The 11,596-nt window shown below is 45.7% G+C and overlaps 1 protein-coding gene across 2 annotated transcripts in view; it reads left to right on the forward strand.

The window, feature by feature from the left end:
- Window positions 1–7,651, forward strand: part of EP300 (EP300 lysine acetyltransferase) — an 87,486-nt gene extending 79,835 nt beyond the window's left edge. For both annotated transcript variants that reach the window (NM_001429.4, NM_001362843.2), the window contains 4 exons: window positions 73–237; window positions 1,197–1,358; window positions 3,821–4,102; window positions 4,347–7,651. In NM_001429.4, the coding sequence (NP_001420.2) occupies window positions 73–237; window positions 1,197–1,358; window positions 3,821–4,102; window positions 4,347–6,530 (2,793 nt within the window). In that variant the 3' untranslated portion in view covers window positions 6,531–7,651. The remainder of the gene's footprint in view (window positions 1–72; window positions 238–1,196; window positions 1,359–3,820; window positions 4,103–4,346) is intronic.

Here is an 11,596-nt window from a genome sequence, read left to right on the forward strand (position 1 = left end):
CATGATTATTCTGTATAATCAATGCTTTAAAAGAACATAGAAATTCCTATATGTACATGCATGTTTTCACAGGATATTTTTAAACAAGCTACTGAAGATAGATTAACAAGTGCAAAGGAATTGCCTTATTTCGAGGGTGATTTCTGGCCCAATGTTCTGGAAGAAAGCATTAAGGAACTGGAACAGGAGGAAGAAGAGAGAAAACGAGAGGAAAACACCAGCAATGAAAGCACAGATGTAAGGGCATTGAGTTTCCTTTGAAACTTCTATCATGATTCTAATATTTAATCCAGAAGTGCACTTAAACTTTCAATTGGGTTTTAAAGCTTTCAGGTGTAAAAGAGCTCTTTAAGTTGGACAAGAAATATTGGCTTAGAGAGGTTATTAGGGTTCTGTTTCAGTGGTATTAAACTTTTAAAGCATCAGAGCCCCTTTTAAAATGGCATCTCAGACTTTGAGTAATGTGAAATGATAAAAGAAACTGAAGGAAATCCTGAAAAACTGATAGAAGATTACTTATCTGAAGGACTAGGTTATGAATATTATAGGCCTTGTGGGTCACATATCTCTGGCATATTTTCTGTCTTTTAAAAACACACTCTTTTTAAATGTAAAAAACCATTCTTAGCTATACAAAATAGGCCTGAGCCAGAATTTAAGTTACTAAGCCTGGCTTAGTAACCTCACCAGTTATTTCCCCATAGCATATCTCGAATTACCTCCATTGAATTTAACTTAACAAAAGGCACCCTTAAATAGTCTGTTAACAAACTCTTACAGCCTTGTCATTTAGTATTTGTAGGCTCATAACATTTTAGAATATGAGTGGAAGGAAATAAAACCAAGGTCTTCTGGCTCCCCACTTTGATACACTCTTCACTACCCCAAAGTGCCACCCCTTCCTTGTTCCCTAGCCCCAATCTGGGATACATTCAATCAATCTACAGGGTCTGCACATTCTGTGGCCTCTTCTAGGCAAAAAGCTAAAGGGCTGCCATTGCCTTAAAGATCACTGGGAGAAAATTAGGTCAAATAACAACTTTAAGGAGAAAGAATAAGTGAAGAGAACAGCTAGTAAAATAAGTTACAGGCATAAGATTATGATATCTAGTTTCAAAGAAGGGAGATATTCTGTGCTATTCCCAAATTACTTAACAAAAACCTTATTTTCTTGTCTCCTTTGTGCTACTCTGCAGGTGACCAAGGGAGACAGCAAAAATGCTAAAAAGAAGAATAATAAGAAAACCAGCAAAAATAAGAGCAGCCTGAGTAGGGGCAACAAGAAGAAACCCGGGATGCCCAATGTATCTAACGACCTCTCACAGAAACTATATGCCACCATGGAGAAGCATAAAGAGGTAAGATGCAGCCACCCAGAGTTGGGGAAAAACGGCAAGATTTCTGGCCAGGCATGGTGGCTCACACCTGTAATCCCAGCACTTTGGGAGGCCAAGGCGGGTGGATCACCTGAGGTCAGGAGTTCAAGACCAGCCTGACCAACACGGTGAAACCTTGCTCTACTAAAAATACAAAATTAGCTGGGCATGGTGGCACATGCCTGTAATCCCAGCTACTCAGGAGGCTGAGGCAGGAGAATTGCTTGAACCTGAGAAGCGGAGATTGCAGTGAGCCGAGGTCACTCCATTGCACTCCAGCCTGGGCAACAAGAGCGAAACTCCACCTCAGAAAAAGAAATAAGAAATGAATAAAAACACTGACTGTTCGCTGGGCGTGGTGGCTCATGCCTGTAATCCCAGCACTTTGGAGGTTGAGGCAGGCGGATCACTTGAGGTCAGGAGTTGGAGACCAGCCTGGCCAACATGGCGAACCGAAACCCCGTCTCTACTAAAAATACAAAAATTAGCCTGGCGTGGTGGCACACACCTGTAATCCTTGGGATGCTGGGGTGGGAGGATCACTTGAACCTGGGAGGCAGAGGTTGCAGTGCACTTACAGCCTGGGTGACAGAACGAGACTCTGTTTCAAAAAATAAAAAGATTTAACCTTTCTGAAAGTGAATTAGTAAATAGAATTGGAGAAAAGTTAAACTTCCACATATGGACTTACAACCCCCTTCTCAAAACTTTTTGAGTTATTTCATCATTTACATTGTTTAGTTGTTCTTGCAGTCATTTGGGAAAATAACTGGGTAAGGTTTTTTTTTTCTCTCTTTAATATCATATAATTGATAACGAAAGCCAGGAGAATTGAAGAGTAATTCCTCTCAGGGTTTGTCCAATGGTAGTAATCTCGATTGTTCAGTCAGACTCCTCATTTTACTATCTCGGTTCTCAGACATATAATCAAGTTCTTATAGGAAGTGGTAATTAAGTTGAGAGGGAAATGAAGGCTTGATTTCAGGTTGTAATTCCGTACCTAAAAATTGGTTAAACAGTCTCTTTGGGAGAGAAATAGTTAACAAAATCTTTTTTAGAGAGGAATTTGTTATAATGATGTTATCATGGTGAACACCTATATACATAGGTGTTCAAAGTATCTTTTCCCCCACTGCTCCCCCCATCACCACCCCTTTTTTGTTAGCCTAGAATAATGGGCTACGATGTAATAATGGTAATAACCATTATCTCAGCCATGCTAGTGAAATGGAAGGATTCCTGAGTTCTAATACGTTAGGTAATGATTATTAACAATTAATAGTTACTAGCTATTTCAAGCAGTAAGTAATGCCACAGAATCCTAGGCAGTTGGGAAAAGCCCTTAGAATATATTGTAATAGGTTTGACTTAAATTGTGGACACATTCCATGGCTGTTTAAATTTAGGTTGTAAATCCAAGTATTGGCCTGGTTGTAGGGTGACAGAAGCAGCGAACATTGCTGGCCAGAGACTGTGAGTGTGGCTGCCAGTGTGCACAGATGTTGAATAATCTGTTATCAGTACAGCAGTTTCTCACAAGTTCCTAATTTCTTAAGGGGATGTTTTACATTTTATTACTTTAATAGGTGTTTATAGTTATATACTAATTAATGTCAAATACATATGTAATACCAGCTTTTTATACCTTTTACACTAATGGTTATGAGAATTGATGGTTGTTACAAGTTTTTTCAAACTTCAATGAACAAGAATTTTATTGCTTTGTCAACAAAGACTAAGATTTTTTATCCATTCCATTCCCTTCCAAACCTGTAGGAAAAGTTACACAGGAAAGTTGCATAGGGGACCTTCATGAGTCCAGGCCAGTTGTTTTTCATACTGTCTCCATATTTGGATTTGTCTGGTTTGTTGTAATTAGATTGAGGTTAAACCATGGATTGCATCTTAAAGTAGACTGCCTTGAGGCAAAATGTCCACTGTGCATGGTGCTATACCTCACCCAGACCATTGTTACTCTGAAGGAGTTACTGAATGAAGGAGAAAAAAATCACAGGATGTGCATTTCAGTTCTATTTATAGTCAGTCTCAAGAGACCAAAGAGGTAAAGCAGGAAAAGGAACAGGAGGCGTATGGTGGTGAAACTAACTCAGCATTCGCCAGTCTCATTGGTGCTCAGCCTGCTGTACCTGCTCACACCTGTAATCCCAGCACTCTGGGAGGCTGAGGCAGGCAGATCACTTGAGCTTAGGAGTTTGAGACCAGCCTGGGCAACATGGCGAAGCCTCGTCTCTACAAAAAATGCAGAAATTAGCCAGGTGTGGTGGTGTGGGCCTGTGGTCTCAGCTATTCAGGAGGCCATGGTGGGATAATTGCTTGAGCCCAGGAGGCAGAGGTTGTAGTGAGCCAAGATCACGCCACTGCATTCCAGCCTGGATGACAGAGCGAGGCCCTGTCTCAAAAAAAAGAGACTGTCTGTTTTTCAGGTCTTCTTTGTGATCCGCCTCATTGCTGGCCCTGCTGCCAACTCCCTGCCTCCCATTGTTGATCCTGATCCTCTCATCCCCTGCGATCTGATGGATGGTCGGGATGCGTTTCTCACGCTGGCAAGGGACAAGCACCTGGAGTTCTCTTCACTCCGAAGAGCCCAGTGGTCCACCATGTGCATGCTGGTGGAGCTGCACACGCAGAGCCAGGACCGCTTTGTCTACACCTGCAATGAATGCAAGCACCATGTGGAGACACGCTGGCACTGTACTGTCTGTGAGGTAGGCACCGGGTTGTGGGAAGGAGGAGGTGAGCTCCGCAGGGTTGTTCTGAGGGGCCATGCAGCCACGTATTTTATAGAGGCCTGTGGGATGCTAGGGGCTTGGCCTCGTGTTTGAGGGGCAGAGCTGAAGAGGCTAGTTTTTGTTCTACGAAAGGGGCTTTTCTAGCCCAAACAATATCTAAAATACTTTTGAATGACTTAAATCTTGGAGAGTTTACGTGCACCTCCTGTTTTTTCCCTAGGATTATGACTTGTGTATCACCTGCTATAACACTAAAAACCATGACCACAAAATGGAGAAACTAGGCCTTGGCTTAGATGATGAGAGCAACAACCAGCAGGCTGCAGCCACCCAGAGCCCAGGCGATTCTCGCCGCCTGAGTATCCAGCGCTGCATCCAGTCTCTGGTCCATGCTTGCCAGTGTCGGAATGCCAATTGCTCACTGCCATCCTGCCAGAAGATGAAGCGGGTTGTGCAGCATACCAAGGGTTGCAAACGGAAAACCAATGGCGGGTGCCCCATCTGCAAGCAGCTCATTGCCCTCTGCTGCTACCATGCCAAGCACTGCCAGGAGAACAAATGCCCGGTGCCGTTCTGCCTAAACATCAAGCAGAAGCTCCGGCAGCAACAGCTGCAGCACCGACTACAGCAGGCCCAAATGCTTCGCAGGAGGATGGCCAGCATGCAGCGGACTGGTGTGGTTGGGCAGCAACAGGGCCTCCCTTCCCCCACTCCTGCCACTCCAACGACACCAACTGGCCAACAGCCAACCACCCCGCAGACGCCCCAGCCCACTTCTCAGCCTCAGCCTACCCCTCCCAATAGCATGCCACCCTACTTGCCCAGGACTCAAGCTGCTGGCCCTGTGTCCCAGGGTAAGGCAGCAGGCCAGGTGACCCCTCCAACCCCTCCTCAGACTGCTCAGCCACCCCTTCCAGGGCCCCCACCTGCAGCAGTGGAAATGGCAATGCAGATTCAGAGAGCAGCGGAGACGCAGCGCCAGATGGCCCACGTGCAAATTTTTCAAAGGCCAATCCAACACCAGATGCCCCCGATGACTCCCATGGCCCCCATGGGTATGAACCCACCTCCCATGACCAGAGGTCCCAGTGGGCATTTGGAGCCAGGGATGGGACCGACAGGGATGCAGCAACAGCCACCCTGGAGCCAAGGAGGATTGCCTCAGCCCCAGCAACTACAGTCTGGGATGCCAAGGCCAGCCATGATGTCAGTGGCCCAGCATGGTCAACCTTTGAACATGGCTCCACAACCAGGATTGGGCCAGGTAGGTATCAGCCCACTCAAACCAGGCACTGTGTCTCAACAAGCCTTACAAAACCTTTTGCGGACTCTCAGGTCTCCCAGCTCTCCCCTGCAGCAGCAACAGGTGCTTAGTATCCTTCACGCCAACCCCCAGCTGTTGGCTGCATTCATCAAGCAGCGGGCTGCCAAGTATGCCAACTCTAATCCACAACCCATCCCTGGGCAGCCTGGCATGCCCCAGGGGCAGCCAGGGCTACAGCCACCTACCATGCCAGGTCAGCAGGGGGTCCACTCCAATCCAGCCATGCAGAACATGAATCCAATGCAGGCGGGCGTTCAGAGGGCTGGCCTGCCCCAGCAGCAACCACAGCAGCAACTCCAGCCACCCATGGGAGGGATGAGCCCCCAGGCTCAGCAGATGAACATGAACCACAACACCATGCCTTCACAATTCCGAGACATCTTGAGACGACAGCAAATGATGCAACAGCAGCAGCAACAGGGAGCAGGGCCAGGAATAGGCCCTGGAATGGCCAACCATAACCAGTTCCAGCAACCCCAAGGAGTTGGCTACCCACCACAGCAGCAGCAGCGGATGCAGCATCACATGCAACAGATGCAACAAGGAAATATGGGACAGATAGGCCAGCTTCCCCAGGCCTTGGGAGCAGAGGCAGGTGCCAGTCTACAGGCCTATCAGCAGCGACTCCTTCAGCAACAGATGGGGTCCCCTGTTCAGCCCAACCCCATGAGCCCCCAGCAGCATATGCTCCCAAATCAGGCCCAGTCCCCACACCTACAAGGCCAGCAGATCCCTAATTCTCTCTCCAATCAAGTGCGCTCTCCCCAGCCTGTCCCTTCTCCACGGCCACAGTCCCAGCCCCCCCACTCCAGTCCTTCCCCAAGGATGCAGCCTCAGCCTTCTCCACACCACGTTTCCCCACAGACAAGTTCCCCACATCCTGGACTGGTAGCTGCCCAGGCCAACCCCATGGAACAAGGGCATTTTGCCAGCCCGGACCAGAATTCAATGCTTTCTCAGCTTGCTAGCAATCCAGGCATGGCAAACCTCCATGGTGCAAGCGCCACGGACCTGGGACTCAGCACCGATAACTCAGACTTGAATTCAAACCTCTCACAGAGTACACTAGACATACACTAGAGACACCTTGTAGTATTTTGGGAGCAAAAAAATTATTTTCTCTTAACAAGACTTTTTGTACTGAAAACAATTTTTTTGAATCTTTCGTAGCCTAAAAGACAATTTTCCTTGGAACACATAAGAACTGTGCAGTAGCCGTTTGTGGTTTAAAGCAAACATGCAAGATGAACCTGAGGGATGATAGAATACAAAGAATATATTTTTGTTATGGCTGGTTACCACCAGCCTTTCTTCCCCTTTGTGTGTGTGGTTCAAGTGTGCACTGGGAGGAGGCTGAGGCCTGTGAAGCCAAACAATATGCTCCTGCCTTGCACCTCCAATAGGTTTTATTATTTTTTTTAAATTAATGAACATATGTAATATTAATAGTTATTATTTACTGGTGCAGATGGTTGACATTTTTCCCTATTTTCCTCACTTTATGGAAGAGTTAAAACATTTCTAAACCAGAGGACAAAAGGGGTTAATGTTACTTTAAAATTACATTCTATATATATATAAATATATATAAATATATATTAAAATACCAGTTTTTTTTCTCTGGGTGCAAAGATGTTCATTCTTTTAAAAAATGTTTAAAAAAAAAAAAAAACTGCCTTTCTTCCCCTCAAGTCAACTTTTGTGCTCCAGAAAATTTTCTATTCTGTAAGTCTGAGCGTAAAACTTCAAGTATTAAAATAATTTGTACATGTAGAGAGAAAAATGACTTTTTCAAAAATATACAGGGGCAGCTGCCAAATTGATGTATTATATATTGTGGTTTCTGTTTCTTGAAAGAATTTTTTTCGTTATTTTTACATCTAACAAAGTAAAAAAATTAAAAAGAGGGTAAGAAACGATTCCGGTGGGATGATTTTAACATGCAAAATGTCCCTGGGGGTTTCTTCTTTGCTTGCTTTCTTCCTCCTTACCCTACCCCCCACTCACACACACACACACACACACACACACACACACACACACACACTTTCTATAAAACTTGAAAATAGCAAAAACCCTCAACTGTTGTAAATCATGCAATTAAAGTTGATTACTTATAAATATGAACTTTGGATCACTGTATAGACTGTTAAATTTGATTTCTTATTACCTATTGTTAAATAAACTGTGTGAGACAGACACCCTGACTTTGTTTCACTTGATAACACATCTTTGTCTTGGAGTACACCCGTTTTAAGTGCCTAATGCTTAGGATTCAGAGGAAAAAGTGAAAGCATTAGCTTATAGCCTCTTTAATCTACTACGTATAATGTATTCACAAGTAGATCTTGGTGAATTTATCCAAAGTTCTGGGAAAAAGTACTGCAGGTACCAGCTAACAGTCAAGGTGGAAGTGATAACCTACTTAACACCTTGATACAGGACCCCTTAAGGATGACCTCATGGTCTTCCAATCACCTTCATCTTACAGGGATGAGAAGGAGGACCTAAGAAGACGGATCATATCTGCCTAAGTCCCAAGTAACTTCTTGGAAAAAACAAGACTTGCCAGGCATGGTGGCTCACGCCTATAATCCCAACATTTTGGGAGGCCAAGGCAGGCAGATCACGAGGTCAGGAGTTCAAGACCAGCCTGGCCAATATGGTGAAACCCCCATCTCTACTAAAAATCAGCAGGGCGTGGTGGTGGGCACCTGCCGTCCCAGCTACTTGGGAGGCTGAGGCAGGAGAATCAGATCCTGGTGGAGGTTGCAGTTAGCCAGGATCTCACCACTGCACTCCAAAGACTCCGTCTTTTAAAAACAGAGAAGATGAAGCTAGGGGAACACTCCTGTTTGCTAACTGAATACAAAGAAGTCAGTTGGAATCGGGTTGAAGGGAAGGAAAATGTGTGGAAATAAAACCTAGAAGGCTGAGAGAGATTACACATGAGTCCAGTAATATGCTAGATGCTCAAAGAATGGAGAGATTATTGATCCTCCATCTGAACATTGCAGTAGCTGTGAACAAGTTGTTAAAACAAATGTGTTAGTACACTAAAAAGTACTGAGCTGCTTTGGTATCAATTCCAGATCTTTCTTTTATCACAGAGATTTACACTAACCATATATGACTGCTAAAGGATTTCAGATACGTTGACCTGTTGCTACTATTTTAGTCTGAAAACAACCAGCATCTTTTTTTTTTAAGACAGTCTCGTCACCCAGGCTGGAATGCAGTGGCACAATTGTAGTTCACTGTAGCCTCAAACTCATGGGCTGAAGCAGTCCTCTTACCTCAGCCTCCCTAGTAGCTGGGACTCAAAGGTGTGTACCATCATGCCTGGCTGACTTTTTAAAATTTTTATAGAGACAGGGTCTTGCTATGTTACCCAGTCTGGTCTCGAACTCCTGGACTCAAGTGATCCTCCACCTTGGCCTCCCAAATTGCTGGGATTACAGGCATGAGCCACCTTACCAGCATCTTAATGTGAGGTGAACTCACTCAGCATTAATCAGAGCCAGCCCCAGAAAATGTATCTAGTATCAAGCATCCAGCATCCACCTGCTTCAGCTCAGTGACCCCGCAGATATCCATGGAGCAGCTACATCTGTGCCAGGCCAGGCAGAGCACACATGAACAGCATGCAGCCCTGCCCTCAACCTAACCAGCTTAAGGTCTAGAAGACAGCATGACAAAGTACAAAGCACCAAGTGATCTATGCAAGGAATGCAAGAGGGAATCCATGAAAGAAAACCTAGCTGATGGGAATTGGAAATGTTTCTGGAAAGGGTAGCATGGAAGCTGGATGTTGGAGGAGAGATAGGAAGAGGAGGAGAGGAGGCGGCGCCCAGAAGAGTGCACCACATTCTGCTAGGGAGCAGCTCCAGGTCTACTTGGCTGAGACCCGATAAACGGAAGTAGTGAACACCTGTTCCAGAAATACGGCCTTCCAGCTCCCTAAGACTAGGGGCCCAGGATTCATGTGAATAAACCCTCAAAAGGGAAATGTTTAGAATTCCATCCCATTTCCAAGCAGTAAATTCCCAGGTTTCAAAGCTCTGCCTCTGGCTAAAGACAGCCGGGTTGAAGTGTTAGACCAGTGCATTCTTACTGCAATGATGAAAGCAGGAAGTAGGGGCAGAAGTCATTAAATAGGAAGGAGGCTGGGCACGGTGACTAACACCTGTAATCGCAACACTTTGGGAAGCCAAGATGGGTGGATCAAGACGAGCCTGGCCAACATGGTGAAACCCCGTCTCTGCTAAAAATACAAAACTAGGCCCCGGGCACGGTGGCCCACACCTGTAATCCTAGCACTTTGGGAGGCTGAGGCGGGTAGATGACCTGAGTTCAGGAGTTCGATACCAGCTTGGCTAACATGGAGAAACCCCATCTCTACTAAAAAAAACAGCTGGGCGTGGTGGCGGGCACTGGTAATCCCAGCTACTCAGGAGGCTGAGGCAGGAGAATAGCTTGAACCCAGGAGGCGGAGATTACAGTGAGCCGAGATCACGCCCTTGCACTCCAGCCTGGGAGACAAGCAAAACTCCGTCTCAAAAAAAAAAAAAAAAAAAAAAAGAAGGGCGGGGGGAAAAGCTGCCCTTTCCCAGATCAGAAATAGTGTTATGGAGGTAGAAGATACGGATTAATCCAGAGTCAGCAATATAATAAGATGATTTCAACGTTTGTAGTTTTTTGGATGTTCACAATGAAAAGTTAGGAAGAGGCCAGGTGCAGGTTTCCACCTGTAATCCCAGCACTGTGGGAGACTGAGGGAGGAAGGATTACTTGAGGCCAGGAGTGGGGAGACCAGCCTGGGTAACAGAGTGAGACCCTCATCTCTACAAAAAATAATTAAAAAAAAAAAAAAAAAACATGGTGGCACACACCTGTAGTCTCAGGTACTTGGGAGGCTGAGGGGGGAGAATTGCTTGAGCCCAGGAGGTCGAGGCTGCTATAAGCCATGATTGTGGCACTGCATTTCTGCTAGGGTGGCCGAGTGAGACCCTCCTGGGCTGTTACAGCACATCAATCTATGAAATGGGTCCAGTGTGCTAGCAGTGCCCCAGGTGCTGTCATTCACTTCGCTTACTGACTCCTCAATAACAGCCCCACTCAACAAATGAAAAACAAGCTCAGGTGAAATAAGGTCCTCAAGATCACATAGCCAGTAAAAGGCTTACCAGGACAATGGCCTGTTGGACTCCAAAGCCATTCCTTTCCATGTCCTTTATCTCCTTTACAGCAGAGAAGCCCCACTGGTGGCTGCAAATTAACCAGCAGATGTGTCATAGGGACACTCAAGCAGACTCAAAATACAGACTAAACACTGAAAAGTGGAGGGGAAGGGGACAACTAAGGAAGCATAAAAATAATCTCCCTAGGCTTCTCATTTTACAACCAAGGAAACATCTCCAGACAGTATTATGTTCATGATGAGGTCATCCTACTTAAAGACAGAGGACAAAGGCTGGCATCAAAAAGAAAAAAATTGGCCGGGCACAGTGGCTCATGCCTGTAATCCCAGCACTTTGGGAGGCCAAGGCAGGCAGATCACGAGGTCAAGACATCGAGACCATCCTGGCCAACATGATGAAACCCTGTCTCTACTAAAAATACAAAAATTAGCTGGGCATGGTGGTATGCACCTGTAGTCGCAGCTACACAAGAGGCTGAGGCAGGAGAATGGCTTGAACCGAGATCTTGCCACTGCACTCCAGCCTGGTGACAGAGCGAGACTCTGTCTCAAAAAAAAAAAAAGGAAGAATAAAATGTTAGGAATAATTTTTTTTTTGAGACGTTTCACTCGTTACCCACGCTGGAGTGCAATGGCGTGATCTCAGCTCACCTCAACCTCTGCCACCCGGGTTCAAGCAATTCTCTTGCCTCAGCCTCCCAAGTAGCTGGAATTACAGGCATGCACCACCACGCCCAGCTAATTTTGCATTTTTAGTAGAGATGGGGTTTCTGCATGTTGTTCAGTCTGGTTTCAAACTCCTGACCTCAGGTGATCCGCCTGCCTTGGCCTCCCAAAGTGTTGGGATTACAGGCGGAGCCACCGTGCCCGGCCAGGAATAAATGTAACAGAAGCGCAAAAAACTTGTACATTGAAAACTAGAAAAGACTGTTGGAAGAAATTAAGG

The sequence above is a fragment of the Homo sapiens genome, chromosome 22 (assembly GCF_000001405.40).
Source record: "Homo sapiens chromosome 22, GRCh38.p14 Primary Assembly".
Classification (NCBI taxonomy): Eukaryota; Metazoa; Chordata; class Mammalia; order Primates; family Hominidae; genus Homo; species Homo sapiens.